This window comes from Homo sapiens, chromosome 18, assembly GCF_000001405.40.
Source record: "Homo sapiens chromosome 18, GRCh38.p14 Primary Assembly".
Taxonomy (NCBI): Eukaryota; Metazoa; Chordata; class Mammalia; order Primates; family Hominidae; genus Homo; species Homo sapiens.
In genome coordinates, this window is record NC_000018.10 from 61,851,682 (window position 1) to 61,868,352 (window position 16,671).

Genomic DNA, 16,671 nt, shown 5'->3' on the forward strand with positions numbered 1-16,671 from the left:
AATCTTAAAAGAGCCAAGCATTAATATTTCCATTTATAGTTGAGAAAATTAAACTCAATTGCTGAAATAACCACTAAGAAGTTACATGGCACTAGAGCCTCTACTTGGTCAATACCATAGGATACTAGAAAATAACAACCCCTATCTGTTCTTATACAGCAGTACATGAATATAATAAACTTATTCTACAGGCTTTCTATCATCTTTCTAACCTCAACCTAGAAGTCTCATTGAAAATATAACGACATCTGCACAGTACCTTGTGGCTCATTAAAATAATTTTATCTATAATATCCTCCCTATGACATATATGAGGCAAATGACGTCACCTACTGTCAAAGGCCAGGGTGCTCTCAGTGACAGGCAGCTCAGAGCCAGCCAGGGGGCACATGTGCTCTCAAAACACCCAGGAATATGACGAGGCCAGCAGCAATGGCAATTTTCAAAAACCGTGGCTTCTGGAAACAGTGGTTCCAAAGGAAAACATTCCAATATGATTATTTCTCCTCCAAACTGGAAACATAAGGACATAAGACAGAAGTAAAAACAATATTCCTCAAGTCTCAAGGGACTTTCCCATTTGAGGAAAAGGCCTAGACATCTTCCTTTTCTCCCCTCACTACTGCTTTTTTAAAAACCTCTGGGCAACAAGAGGAGAAAAATGTTGGCTGATTGAAAATGTGTTTGCCACCAGGACATACCAATCTGTGGTGCTGAACATACTCAAGAGTGTTGGGTAATAAATACTTTTGTATTTCCTGCCACAATTACAGCATCGCTCATACACTGATCTGTGTATATCATTGAAAGATGTAAGACAGAGTCCTCAACAGACCACCCACTTCTCTCAAAACTCAAAAGAACATCTAGATTGTCAGTCTTCAAAGAGAAACTGATTTATAATCTTATTCAGCAAACACAATACCTCTGCAGTGAGTCTCACCTTAGCTGCAAACTTCCATCACCTGGAGAGATTTAAAAAATTCCAGTGCTGTGGTTTGGCTTCCTGAGGTTCTGATTCAATTGTCTTGGGGGTGCTGCCTGGACATCAGGACTTTTAAAAGCTCTCCAGGTGACTCACTGAGCATACAAGGTTGAGACTCACAGCTACAGAACATAAGGCACACACCTGCCTGCTCCCCTAAAAAGTGCCTCACAGGTACTAATGGCCACGAATAATTTCACAATGAAGAAGTATTCAATAACATGGATTTAACATTTTCAGACACAATCTGTTCACTGCCTAATTAAGAAGCCCTTTTTATTGTTCTCCTGGTCTTCCTGACTTATTCTAATCACAACCTGGAAACCTAGATGAATATAAAAAGATCCATTTAAAAAGTGGTAACATCTATGTAGCACTTTGAAATTGTATAAATATGTAAGATACAATGTCACATTTAACTACTACAAGAACTGGGATAGGCAAGTTTATTAGTTTCCTACTGCCACTGTAACAAATTACCACAAACTTAGCAGCTTAAAGCAACATGAATTGATTATCTTATAGGTCTGGAGCCCAGATGTCTGAATTGGTCTCCTCATGCTAAAGCGAAGGTGTTGGCAGAGCTGTTTCTTTCTGGGGGCTCTAACGGGAGAATCTGGTTCCTTGCCCTTTTTTTTTTTTTTTTTTTGGAGACAGGTTACCCAGGCTGGAGTGTAATGGCACACGATCACAGCTCACTGCAACCTCTGCCTCCCAGGTTCAAGCAATTCTCCTGCCTCAGCCTCCTGAGTAGCTGAGACTACAGGCACATGCCACCAGGCCCAGCTAATTTTTTTGTATTTTTAGTAGAGATGGGGTTTCACCATGTTGGCCAGACTGGTCTTGAACTCCTGACCTCAGGTGATCTGCCAGCCTTGGCCTCCCAAAGTGCCGGGATTACAGGCTGAGCCATCGCACCTCACCGGTTCCTTACCTTTTTTAGCTGCCAGTGGCTGCCTGCATTCCCCAGCTCATGAGCCCTTTCCTCACATTACTGTTGTTCTGTCACTATATCTCCTACCACTAACTTTGACTATTCTACCTCTTTTTCATAAAAACCCCTGTGATTACATTGGGCTCAACCAGATATTTCAGGATACACTCACCATTTCAACATCCTTAACCTAATCACTTCCTTGAAGTCCCTTTTGCCATGTAGGTAACATATTCACAAGTTCCAAGGATGAGGTTCCAAGGATGAGGACAAGGACTTCTCTGGGGTCCATTATTCACCACAGAGTAAGGCAAACATCGCCACCCCTGTTGTGCCCATCCTCCCTGCCCACCTGCCCATTTTTCAACTGAGAAAACTCAGGCTCAAGGTTGCCTGAGGTCCAGGGTTGACTTGCCCAGGTCCACACCTGGAAATGAGCCAAGCTGATACCTAATCTTACAACTCCAAGCCCCACGTTCTTTCTGCCACTGCTTATTGACTCCCCGTGACAAGGTGATGTTTGCAATATTTTTTTCTTTTCCAAGCTTCCACTATACAGTTAACAAGAAGTGTTTTTCCTTTCACTCAGTTATCTCTGCTTCTCAGCCAATGCACAGCAAATGGAAACTAACCAAGCCTTTCCCTAAGGTTCAAAGGAACCAGAAAGCCCACCAAGGCAGGAATTCATTATACAGACTACAATGTCACAACCATCTAAGAGACTGGTCATGTAAGAAAGTATATGGGGGAAAAAAGCAAGCTCTCAGTTTTGAGAGTGCAAAATAATCTGAATTTGCTAAGACATACACACAGCAACAGCCTTAAAGGAAACGCACAATAGGTAACACCGGTGTCTTCCATGTTCAACACAATCTATTCAAAATTACACAGGAAACCATCCTCTCAATGATTTTCCATAGTTTCTTCCCCTCTTCCTCTTTCTCAACTGAGCGAATTAAAGAGGGCTGGGAGGTGGTATTTGGAGCCTCAATTAGTCATCTTTTGAACGAGGTATTATTTAAGCTGGGGTAATCAGAAGGTAGTGACTACAATTTTCAGTTTTCTACTATGATGGTCATACTGCTATTGGTAACCTGGAATTTCCTCTCTCTCTCCTTTCACTAGCACATCAGGGAGAAAAGAACCCAGTGCTGAATCATGGCCACTTCAACAATGAGAGAAGTAAACAAGCCAAGCAAAGCTCGCTGCCAAGCTTATATTTCGCCTATGTCTGTGTTCAACCTGACGTGAAAATAGCAGGCGGAAAAAAATCAATGTCACATCAAAATGCAACTGGTATAATAGCAGCAAGTTACATGATTTTCCTGAACTACAGATAACTCACAGACTGTCTCAAATGCTACAAAATACCAGCAATAGGGCTTTTAAAGGTCATGTGGAAGAATTCAAACAACCTAAATATTATATTTTAAATAAGCTAATGGTGGTGGGGAGAGGGAACTGCTGGCTTGTGTTCATGCCAAAGCTGTGCTCTGAAGCTATTATCTTACACAATTATAACCAGTGGGAAGAAGGATTTGAAGGACAGCAAGATTCCCCAGTATCTAAGAAAGAGTCAATTGTGGTCACTAATTCAGAAAAGTAAAACAATGCATTTTGTAAAGCTTTTCAATAAGGATGTCATTGTAAGAGAATTCTGGTTTACCAGGAGTCAACCTTAAAAGTTTAATAAAATCAGGAAGTTCTGGTTCATGTAATTCATTATTTTGATGATATCATAGTGATGGCAGAAGCGGCCTGTTTGGAGCAGCCACTGCAGGGACGCCAGCTGTAGTGGGGGAGGCGCAGCCAGGACTGTGCGTTCCATAGCCCTTACCTAGGGGCTCCTCGAGCCAGGGCTGTGACACCCCCTTTGGGGCTCTGCAATTCCTCGCATCTCCAACTTTCTGGGTGCCACCGTGTTCTCATCCAGATGTGGATGCCCGCAGTAGAAGCCACGTGCAGTGCATCTGGTGCAGCTGCAGCTTCGCATGGAGCCAGCACCTGTGCCAGCGCCTGGAGCTGCCTGCCCCGCTGCAGCCCCTGGTGTGCCTGGCTGTGCACAGTGGCTGGACCCCACACTCGCTCACCACACAATCTCATCACTCCACGTCTGGCTCGCCCTTGGCAGGTGTGGAATCTGGGCTGGTAGCATGAACTGAGCGCAGCTAGCCAGGCCAAGTGGACAGAATGAGCCCAGCAGGTACGAGCAATACCCAGGCAGAAGGTGCCATTGGCCACAGAGGTTTCCGGCTGGTGACTCCCAGAGGATCCCGTGACAAAAGCCTCAAAAATAAACTGAGTAAACTGAAAGAGAGTACACCTGCTAAGTATTCACTACTCCACATACTTTAATCTGACCACGCCATGTTTCCCTACAACCAGGTACTTAAAGAACTCTGTGTTCTAGTCCTGACTCTGACACTAACTCACTATCCTAGTCACATGAGTTCTCTGGGTGTCAGGGTTCTCATCTGCAAGGGGAGAGGGCTGGATGAGATGACCTTCCAAGTTCTTTTCCAATTCTGACTCTAAAAGCTTCTAAAAGCTCCATTAACAAAATTCACTGGCTGATTTCTATCTGAAATGAGATTCTAATTGAGTTGGTGAGTAAAGCGATGACAATGAAGCCAATGTCAAAGACTCTTGAAAACTAAATGCTGGAGAACAAACATAAGCTGGAAAATGACACGGGGAAATACACGATGGGTTCCTGTCCTGGGAACACTACAAGGCTGGGGGTCCCAAGAGTTAATTTTAAAGATGCCTGTTGGGAACTCATCTGCCACAGCGCCTACTTCTTTCATGGCAGCTCTAGCACTCAGCACTAGCCCTGAGTACAGGCACAGAAAGGAAGGGAGGGGATGGGAAGACAGTCTTGAGATGCAAATCCCATATAAAGGGTCATAGCTAGGACCCTTCTAGCCACCAAGGACCCAGCATCACCTTCCAGGTCACTCAGATCCAAGGATGGCTATTCCTGGGAGTTGATAACTGGAGTGTTTAGATTTGATACCCCTTCTTTCTGCTGTCCTTACTCATTCCACATCCTTACTAGAGGTGAGGGGTTGGGGGAGGGGTGGTCGAGCAATCTTTTGTACTTTTGAGGGTCTGCAAACTTAGGCACAGAAAATGAAAAGTGGATTCACAGAGCTGCTGACATCTCTGGGGATTCAGTTCCCCGAACAGCTAGCTCCATGTAACAAATGTGCTCACTGAAGTGGGAGAGCCCAGGAAAAAAGCGACAGGAAAATTGAGGACTAGCTATAAAGCTCATCTTCAAAAAGCCATAATTATCACAATAGTGTCACCTAAGCGTTATTTACAAGCATCTGTACACACAATCCCTCCTCTTCTAATAGCCCTCATTTAGATACAGAGCTATTACCCAGGGCAACATTTTAAATTAATTAAGTAGTAAAACAAGGAGAAACCAGCATTATTCAGTCAAAACTCTAGAGTGAATATAATTAAAATACAGGCAGGGGAACAGGCATAAAAGACACAGAATCTCACTTTTTACTTTGTGCTGATAATTCCTACCCTGACTTGCATTATACGTCAGGGTTCAAGCTCTGTCTCCATTATCCCCAACACTGTAACAGGGAGAAAGTGCAGACACTTTTCTATTTTGCAGATGAGAAAACTGAGACTTAAGGAAATTAAATGATTTGTCCAAAGTCAATTCATGTCAAAAGCCCAGATCTTCAACGCCTGCTCTGGAAACCACACACTATGTCCACATGATTTTATTTTCATGGTGAAACTGAAACAATTTTTATACTAAAAGCTATCAAATATTTTGCCTTGGAACTGCTTTAGAACCTTTAGGGCCTCAGAATAGTCTAGTTTGAATCCTGGCAGAATGAAGCAAATTTTCAAAAGCCATAAAAATGGCTTTTTCTCTTCAAACAGCAACAGGCAAGAGAATGTTCCCCACAATCTGTTGTTATTGCTATAATTTTTCTTCAAACCTACTGTTACTTCCTTTAAATGACCACATCTTCCATCTCATCGCCATGTTCTGACGATACAGGGACACAAAAGTAGCAGATAACACAAGTTCCATATCCTCCAGGGACTCACCAGTCATTAAACAAACAAACAAACAAACAAACAAACAAAAACTGTGGGCTTTTGGTCATTCTAGTTTTGGATAATAGCCTATCACAAAACATCTTTCAGCCTCAGTCCTGTTAATCAATAGTCATTTAAAGTAAATTTGTCATTGGCGTGTATAAACATCTACATTCAAGAGCATTTTCCAAAATAACACATTTGCCTTGTGATTATATAAATAATCAGACAACTAAAACAATAACAACAGGAGCAAAAAACAACTCTAGTCAATCTGAGGTAGTGGGGATGGGTTTAGCTTTACGTTTGGGTCTCCTCTGCTATAATCTATTAAAATAAATGAAGCAGAGCCACCCCAGCAGGGGCTGAAAAAGACAATTGTCTGTCCTTCTGAAATCTCCCTCTGCAGCCACATGCAAACCCTCTACCCCAATTTCCAGGACCAGCCCTAAACTTAGTAGAGACATTTAGGTAGTTTGGTATAACTCTCTGGGACTCCACCCAGGTCCCACTGACTGTGGGCTCGGCTGTGACCTCCTGCCCAGAGCTCTGTGACATTGAGTGCTTTCTTGATTCCTTAGCTCTTTGAATCTGACACTTGTTAGATTCCTGCCAGCCCCTCCCTCCCCCAAGCCCTCTGGAACTATCTCCCCTGGAACCATATACCCTAGGATGAGGAATCTGTCCCTGAGATCCAGCCACTTGTTAGATTCCTGCCAGCCCTTCCCTCCCCCAAGCTCTCTGGACCTATCTCCCCTGCAACCGTATACCCTAGGATGAGGAATCTGCCCCTAAGATCCAGCCACCTCTAGAAATATTTCCCCCGATACCTTCTCCCTAGACTTCACATTCCAACCTATCACCCTGAAGGATGCCCTGGGCCCCAACTCTACTGCAGCCCCTCCACTTCCCCCAGTGGTCGACTTCCACTCAGGGTTCCCACCAAGCCAGTCCGCAGTACTCATTCCTAGGTCTGGCCTTGTTCTTACTGAAATCCTGCATCCTAGCCTAAAACTTCTATATTCCATGGAGAAGAAGCTGGAGAGTGGCCATCCCCATCATCACCCCTGGCTATTTACTTGAGGTCTGCCAGCAGTTTGCATTCAGCAACCTATTAATTGCCTTGCAGACATCATGATGCAGCAAATTTCACTATTTTCACAAAAACAGAGATCCCGTTTTAATAGGAGATGTGCTTAAGTTTGGTCAGCAAGCCTGAGACAAAACAAAAACTAAATTTGGGGTCCCCTGGCTTTGTTCTTACTGTATAAATCATATTTGGGGAAACTCCATGTTTCTTACGCGCCGGGTGATGTCAATATCCAATTACAGGAGGGTGAAGGAGGCCCTTTCTAACCCACATGGGCCCATCTGATGTCCCTCAGCCACGACCCTGTATTATAGACGAGGGCTGGTGGCTCCTACAAGTCATCACCACCATTCAGATGCCACTATGCACTTGTTCCACCTCGCAGACTGGGACAAGTATGTACTTGCTCAAATTCCCACCTCAGTACTTCTGACCAAACCAATTGTTTCAAATAAAACTGGAAGGACTTTTGTCCTTCCCACGGGTACCATCAAAGCCCCTCAGTTTCAGGCTTAGTTGACTGAAGTGAAACAGGCAACAGAGCGTGAGAGGGCTGTTGTGGCGCAAATTCAAACTTGACGTGCTTCAGAAACGTCGCATCAGTTTCACACACTGTTCCCAGGGCTCCCAACACATGCGTCAGAGACATAATTGCAAGGCTAAGGGTTCCGGAGAGTCAGGGAGCTGCATTCCCATGCAGAGCAGGAGATGCTGCCCTTGAAGAAGGGCCTGGAAGCTGCAGAGAAAAGGAGCATCACCCACCTGTGTGGGGCAGGGGAATGGGTTGAGTTGTGTCTCCCAAAAAGATAGTTTGAAATCCTGACACCTAGGCCGGGCACGGTGGCTCATGCCTGCAATCCTAGCAGTTTGGGAGGCCGAGGCGGGCAGATCACTTGAAGTCAGGAGTTCAAGACCAGACTGGCCAACATGGCGAAATCCCATCTCTACTAAAAGTACAAAAATTAGCCAGGCGTGGTGGCAGGCGCCTGTAATCCCAGCTACTTAGGAGGCTGAGGCAGAAGAATGGCTTGAATCCAGGAGGTGGAGGTTGCAGTGAGCCGAGATTACACTATTGCACTCCAGCCTGGACAACAGAGACTCCACCTCAAAGAAAAAAGAAAAGAAAAGAAAAGAAAAGAAATCCTGACCCCTAGTATCTCAGAATGTAGCCTTATTTGGAAAACGGGTCACTGCAGATGTCATTAGTTAAGATGAGGTTATATTGGAGCAGGGTGGGCCCTTAATCCAACATGACTAGTGTCCTTTAATACAGAAAAGACTCAGAAAAGACTCACAAGGAGAGACAGCCATGTGATGACAGGAGCCAAAAGCCAGGAATGCCAAGGACTGCCGACAGCACGAGAAGCTGGGGAAGGGAGGAAGGGTTCTCCCCATGGGTCTCAGAAGTGCATGGGCCTGCCGACACCATGCCTGTGGACTTCCAGCCTCCAAAAATGTGACAGAGTTTCTGTTGTTTGAAGCCACCTACTTGGTTAAGGCAGCCCTAGAAAACTCATCTAAGGGGGAAGCAAGCAACTGAGGAATCATAAAACCCTCCCGATTCAGAAGCAGCACCAAATAGCAAAGAGAAAATGCAGTCACGCACCACATAACGTTTCGGTCAATAACAGATCACATAGAAGATGCTGGTCCCATAAGATTATAATGGAGCTGGAAAATTCCTATTGCCTGGTGATACAGCCATCAGAGCATTGTTGCACTGCAACGCATTACTCACATGTTGATAGTGAGGCTGGTGTAAAGAAACCTACCATGCTGCCGGTTGCATAAGAGTCTAGCACACACAATCATGTACAGTACACAATACTTGATAATGATAATTAACAACTATGTTACTGGTTTCTGCATTTACTGTACTATATTTTTATCAGTATTTTAGAGTGTACTCCTACTTATTTCTTTTAAGTTAACTGTAAAATGCCCCAGGCAAGTGGTTCAGGAGGTATCCAGAAGAAGGCACTGCTGTCACAGGAAATAACAGCTCCATGCGTGTATTACCCTGAAGACCTTCCAATGGGACAAGATGTGGAGGTGGAAGGCAGTAATATTGACAATCCTGACCCTGTGTAACCCTAGGCTAATGTGTGTATTTGTGTTTTAGTTTTTAACAAAAAATGTTTAAAAGGTAAAAGAAAAAAATTAATTTTACAAATAAAAAAAGCTTACAGAAGAAGGATATAAAGAAAAATATTTTGGTACAGTTGTATAATATTTGTGATTTAATCTAAGTGTTATTAAAAAAGAGTCAAAAAGTTAAACAAAATTTAGACATTTATAAAGTTAAAAAGTTACAGTAAGCTAAGATTATTATTGAAGAAAACTATTTGTTATAAATTGAGTGTAGTCTAAGTGTACTGTGTTTGTAAAGTCTACAGTAGTGTACAGAAATGTCCTAGGCCATCACATCCACTCACCACTCACATCCTGAATCACTCAGAGCAACTTCCAGTCCTGCAAGCTCCATTCATGCTAAGTGTCCTATACAGGTGTACCTTTTTTATCTTTTATACAATATTTTTATTGTATCTCTTCCATGTTTGCATAAACAAATACTTATTGTGTGTGTTACAATTGCTTGCAGTATTCAGTATAATAATATGCTGTACAGGTTTGCAGCCTTGGAGCAATGGCTGTACTGTATAGCCTATATGTGTACTGGGCTACACCACCTAGGCTTGTGTAAGTGTACTCACTCCATAATGTTCACATAACAAAATCACCCAAAGATGCATTCCTAAAAATATATCCCTGTCATCAAGTGAGGCATGACTGTACATGTTACGCTTAGTGTCTTAGTCCATTTAGTGTTGCTAGATAGGAATACATGAGGTTGGGTAATTTATAAAGAAAACAGGTTTATGTAGCTCACAGTTCCACTGGCCAGAAGGTTCAAGACTCGGCATTTGGCGAGGGCCTCAAGCTGCTTCCACTTATGGCAGCAGGTGAAGGGAAGCTGGCATGTGCAGAGATCACATGGTGAGAGAGGAAGCAAGGGTGAGGAGGCAGGCTCTTTGTAACAACCAGCCCTCATGGAAACTAATAGAGTGAGAACTCACTCACCAACCCACAGAACATTCATCTACTCAAGTGGGATCTGCTCCTGTGACCTAAACATCTCCTATTAGGCCCCGACCTCCAACATTGGGCATTAAATTTCAACATGAGATTTGGAGGGCTCAGACACCCAAACTATACCACTAAGGAACACAGTGGCTTGGTTAAATTGGAAAAATGAATACAACTCCCTGAGGCCCTCAGAAGAACCTTCCTTCCCAGAAGAAGCTGGACATTCTAATTCAGGTCCTAAGCTGGGGAAGGACCATGAGTGGGAAAAGGTAGGAATTGAGGCTTTTTTCTCCCTTTTTACATGTTAATACAAAGCCCTGCCTCCTCCATCCTGACCCCCCTATCTCCTCTCTGCCTCCTATGCTTACAGAAAGGCACTAGATGCAGTACTTTCATGTCTACCACCTCATTTAATCTTCATGACAATGTGTGTGGCAGAGGAGGCGGCAAAAATTCTCATTCCCATTTCACACACGAGGAAACTAAGGCTCAGTTGGATCAGGGACTGCCCAGAGAGGAGATGACCATCCTGAAAAGAACTTCAGCTGACAAAGCAAGAGCAAGAGGTGAAGAGCAAGAGGCTTTCAAAAAGGTGGGAGGGAAGATTTCTGACTGAGGGGCTTAAGACCCTCCATGAGGGGATCCCACCCTGTGCCCTGGGGACAGGAATGCTAGTGTCATGAAGCTTCGGTAAAAAAACCCAAGCGGACAGGGTTCAAGGAGCTTCCAGACAGCTGAACATGCTGAGGTTCCTGGAGGGTGGCACCCACGGAGGGCATAGAAGCTCCACACCCTGTCCCCCACCCCTCACCCCACGTGTCTCTTCATCGGTATCCTTTGCAATATCTTTTACAATAAACCAGTAAACATAAGTAGGGGTTTCACCAAGTTCTGTGAGCCGCTCCAGCAAATTCATCAAAGCCAAAGCGGGGGTTCTGGGGACCCCAACTTGAAGCTGGTGGGTCAGAAGTTCCGAGGAGGCCCAGACTTATCATTGGTGTGTGGGTAGGGGCAGTCTTGGGGACTGAGCCCTCAATCAGTGGGCTCTGACATTATCTCTGGGTAGACACTGTTGGAACTGAATTAGAGGATACTCAGCTGGTGTCTCTACTTGTGTGCTGATGATTGTTGTGGTGTGAGAACAAAGAAAAAACAGAGAGTTTTCCCTACACACAGCCCAAAATACTATCTTAAAAAAATTTTGAAGACAGGTTAACCAAAGGTTCTGGCAGCCATCCATGTCCAAAACAAACCAAATGTGTTGCCCGTAAAACATTTGCTCTTGAAAAGTAGTCCCTTAGCCAGGCGCGGTGGCTCACACCTGCAATCCCAGCATTTGGAAGGCCGAGGCAGGTGGATCAGCAGGTCAGGAGATCAAGACCATCCTGGCTAACACAGTGAAATCCCATCTCTACTAAAAATACAAAAAAATTAGCCAGGCGTGGTGACACACGCCTGTAGTCCCAGCTACTCGGGAGGCTGACGCAGGAGAATCACTTGAACCTGGGAAGTGGAGGTTGCAGTGAGCGGCGATCGTGCCACCGCACTCCAGCCTGGCAACAGAGTGAGACTCCGTCTCAAAAAAAAAAAAAAAAAAAAAGTAGCCCCTTGACTTTTTTCAGTTGTTCAGGTAACATCACTGTAGACACAATCTGTAGATTCTTCTACTGACTTTTTACATGGAAATAGTTAATATCTTTGGGGAAAAAACTAAGCACATTTTCCAGGCTGGAAAAGCCAAGGCTTCAGCTTTTGCATTCTGTCTCCTTTTGTGCTTCTCAATCTTCAAGCAATCCTGTGTAACCGTATGGCCTGTCCTCAACTAGCATGCTGTACAAAGTGCGTTTTCCTGATTCTGGGCTTCGAAGAGTGCTTGAGAGGTGGGGGCATTACACACTAATGTCCGAGGACATCTGATGACTGGACAAATCTCTTCCCCAAAGCAACACCTGACAAGAGTAAGGAAGTCAGAGCCAGGGCGGAGTGGCAGGTGTCCAAGGTAAGGACAGGACTGAAAGGGTTAAGCTGAACAGCACTGATGATAAGGAACTTGGGTGGTGAGCTCCCGCTCTAATCGGCTGCCTTTTCCATGTATTTTAATCTTTCTCTTTCTGAAAAACACCCAGTCATTGGACATCAGGAGAACCTGACTTCATCTTTCCTGCCCCTTACAGCCACAATCTGTTTCTACCCATAGAACATTTCTGACATCAAACACATGGGTGTCTTCCACCTCAACAACCAAGTCTCCAACTCTCCAACAACAATCGGGTGTCCCAGAATTCAATTCCATTTTGACCCTAACTACCCGGAGTCACAGACCCCACAGGTCAGGGGCTCAGCCCCACAAGTCTGCCCCCATTTCAGACACCAAGCATAAGTCCCAGGCCTCCTGTGCTTCTGACTGACTGGCTATCAGTGGGGTTTCTCACAACCCCCTCTCCGGTTTAGTAACTTGTGAGAACGGCTAGCAGAACTCTGTGAGAATGGCTGGCAGAACTCAGGAACAGTTTATGGCTATTACTGGTTTATGATAACAGATACAACTCAGATCAGCCAAATGGAAGAAATACACAGGGCAAGATTGGGTGCACAGAGCTTCCATGACCTCTTGGGAGGCGTCACCCTCCCCCAGCTCCTCAAAGTGTTCACCGACCAGAACCCTGTCACTTAGGGGTTTGATGGAGGCTTCGCTGTGTAGACATGGTCGATTAAATCATTGCCCACTGGGGACTAACTCCCTCTTTCGCCCTTCTTCCCTACCAGGAGGTCTGGGATGAGGCTGAAAGTCACAACCCTCTAATCACAGAGTTGGTTCCTCTGGCGACCAGCTGGCACTCTGAGGCCAGCTAAGAGCCCACCAAGAGTCATCTCATTAGCATAAGCCAAGGTATGGTTGAAAGGAGTTTATGGTCGGGCACAGTGCTCACGCCTGCCGAGGCAGGTGGATCACCTGAGGTCTGAGACCAGCCTGGCTAACATGGTGAAACCCCGTTTCTACTAAAAATACAAAAAATTAGCCAGGCGTGGTGGCGCGTGCCTGTAATCCCAGCTACTCAGGAGGCTGAGGCAGGAGAATCGCTTGAACCCAGGAGGCGGAGGTTGCAGTGAGCTGAGCTCGTGCCATTGCACTCCAGCTTGGGCAACAAGAGGGAAACTCCATCTCAAAAAAAAAAGGAGTTTATGATGAAAAACAAAAGATATTCCTCTAACCTCTATCACCCAGGAAATTACAAGGGTTTTAGGAGCTCAGTACCAGGAAATGGAGGATGAAAACCAAATATATATATTTCTTATTATATCACAATATCATACCCCTAGAACCTGCAGCCAAATTGTCCGGCACATATACTTGGATACCTACCAATAATCATTCTGGGGAAACCATATCTACAAAATGCCATGCCACATTTTGTCAGCTTGAAAATATTAAACCCTACTGAAAAAATGTAAGGTTTCTTCTTCAGATTTAAATGTCTACTTATTTCAAAATGAATTAGTAGTTCTCTGGGTTTCATAATGTTTAATTCATTAATAACTACAGCTTGAGAATTTGAAAGGAGATTGCTTCCAGGATAAAATTAAATATAAAACTCTAAGCAGTGATTCATGGCTGTTCCTATCTAAATTACTAATCCATGTGACAAACCTGGTTGGCAGCACAAAAAACGCAATACTATTTGTCCCCCATTGCCTTTATAGACTTTGTTGAATTGTTTTTGCAAACTTCCTAAATCCAAGTACTAGATAATCCCCTGCTAGCAGCTTCCATCCCGTTGTGGAATTTAGTTTAGAGTCTCTGTTGCCACAGAGAGTTTCACAATGGACTAATACTTTGTACCTCAGAAAAGAATTTTCTGAACATTAGAGTTTAGACATAGAGCCCAATGGACTTCCAAGGAAACTCACTTTAAGTTGAAGGCAAATATTCCCATGACAGCTGTCCCAATCCCCAAAGAAACCTACAAAAAATCTGCTCAAAAACATTTTTTTAAATGCCTATTTTCTTTTAGTTTGCAAGGAAGGCTAGTCAGCTGAGTGTCAATTACATATCTCCCTGTTAGAACAATCAGGCACTAGAGTCATCATGTTGTCCAACAGATGATATAAGGCTTCTTAAATTTCACCAAGCCCTGGTTATTCTGCCTCCTAAAATTTCTCTCAGGTCTATTCCTCCCACTGCCTGGGTTCATTCTTATGTCTGCGTGGAGGAACAGGCAGGAATATTCCTGGCCATATACTCCCACCTCCAAGGGAATTTGGAGGGCTGAGTGGCACAGGGCCCCACCCCCTGTGGTAACCCCTGCCCAAATCATCACAAAGCCCAGCAAACTAGGTTCTCCCTGCCTCTCATCTCTCCCCAATACCAACCATCCAACCTACTGCTTCTAGACAGCGAGTCGGGCCCAGGTAGCCCCACGGATGGCTACTCCCCACCAGATGCCTTATACACGGGGACTCGTTTATCCTCAGGACAACTTGAGGAAGTCACCCTCATTGTCTTCTTATTACACACCAGGAGCTGGCAGCAAAGATGTTCAAACACTACCCCAAGCTACAGAGTGAGAATCTGCGAGGACAAGATTCACATCCACACTCTCGCCCGCGTTTCTGTGCTTTGAGCCACCTGATCATGCCATCCCATGGCTCCTTAGTACCAAGAGTGAGGCCACACACCCCAGCAGGGCCTACGCATCCTTTGGTGACTTGGCTACATTTCCAGCCTCATCCAACCTATGCCCTCCATCTGCCCTCTATCTCCATCAGTTACTTGCACATGGTATTCCCTGTGCTTCTCCTCCATGTCTCCTCTCCCTGCTGTGTGCTCCTACAGTGACATGTTCATCCCTTCATCAACCATTCACTACTTCCTCCCAACATTGGTGGTGACACCGGGGGTGTGACCTCAAAGCAGCAGCTCTGGCTTTCCCCTACTTGCCCGCTGTCCCCACCGCTGAGCAGCACATGACAAGACAGCCCATAGCTTTGGCACCAAGGAATGCATTAAGGCAAATCATCAGTGAAACTTTAAAAAGCAAAACAACACAAAAAAAACAGACTTAGGGGCTTGTCCCAAAATGACTGTTAGATCCCTTATAAGCTGGGGTGGAGGGATGGGAAGGGCCTTATGTGGGCTTATTAAACACTGCACATCAGGAATTTTTTTTTCTCACCAAACATCAAACATTGCAATCAAGTGAGAGGAGAACACCTAGATGCTCGCCAGCTGAAGTAGGAAGAAAGCCTGTGGCAGATTTTAAATCAGCAAGAGGTGGGAACTCAAGAGTTACCCATGCATGGCAAATACAAAGAGATTGGGGACCGGGTGCGGTGGCTCACACCTGTAATCCCAACACTTCGGGAGGCAGGTGGATCAATTGAGGTCAGGAGTTCAAGACCAGCCTGGCCAACATGGCGAGGCCCCATCTCTACTAAAAATACAGAAAATTAGTTGGGTATGGTGGCATGCTCCTGTAGTCTCAGCTACTCGGGAGGCTGAGGCAGGAGAATCACTTGAACCTGGGAGGCAGAGGTTGCAGTGAGAGGAGACTGCGCCATTGCACTCCAGCCTGGGCGACAGAGTGAGACACCATCTCAAAAAAAAAAAAGAGATGACAAACTGAATCTTCAGCTCAGTCTGGTTTTTATAGTTGTTTCCTGGGAGGAGGGGGAGCAGGGGCAAAGAGATATTTGAAAGGAGTTTGGTTGTTTTGTTTTTTATTTTTTTCATTTTAAGGAGGGAGAGCACCCACTATTGATGAAACTGTTATGGCAACCCCCAACCCAGGGTGAACCGTATGTAAACCAGGCTGAACTCTCCACATCGCCGGCCTCACCATCCTGGGATACAATTCTGACTATAAACTCAGCATCAGATAAACCTAGATATTACCAGCAATGCAGCAGGAAAAATAAAAATAACAACTGAATTCACAGTAATCATTTAAAATGTAAAATACTGCTCTTAAATCCTATAAAATGGCCACGAATGTCCAGTGCACACTAATTCTATAAGGAACCCCCACTGTACTATAAAAATACACAAAACGCACATAAAAATACAACTTTACTATTATGTAAATTTAACCTTAAACAAATATGCTAGCTAACACAAACAATATATTAAATCAATTTTGCTCACCTTCTTAGAACTTAACGAGCCTCCTAGGGGCAATTCAGATACCCCAGCTCCTCACTTAGAAAGCTGTCTGAGGAGATTCATGGTAATGTGTGCAGCTGGGCTTTTCCTGGCTCCTCTCTCCAGTCATTTTCCTCGTAGCCAGCACAGGCATTCAGAACAAGTTACCCACTGTAGAGGTTGGCCTTCGGGTGTTGCTGTAGACTTACAGCATATATCTGTGTTATGTTTCAGGGATGTTTAAAAGCATGTTAAAAATATGTCCCAATATTTCTCTTTTCCTCCTAGCTTATTCCAAGTCTCAAGAGCAGCTACACTGCTCAGTATCAGTTCAGAGACCACAGGACAGAGGTAAACCC

General features: G+C 44.6%; 1 protein-coding gene across 7 annotated transcripts in view; it reads right to left on the bottom strand.

Annotated features, from left to right (window-relative positions):
* RNF152 (ring finger protein 152) overlaps positions 1-16,671 on the bottom strand; it is an 86,346-nt gene that overhangs the window by 43,615 nt on the left and 26,060 nt on the right. For 2 of the 7 annotated variants that reach the window (XM_011525879.3, XM_047437349.1), the window contains exons 3-4: positions 16,316-16,530; positions 334-513 (exon numbers count right to left, since the gene is read on the bottom strand). The exons of 4 other annotated variants lie outside the window; for them this stretch is intronic. The gene's annotated coding sequence lies outside the window, so the exon portion shown is untranslated. The remainder of the gene's footprint in view (positions 1-333; positions 514-16,315; positions 16,531-16,671) is intronic. One more of the 7 variants, XM_011525878.3, reaches the window with a different exon arrangement.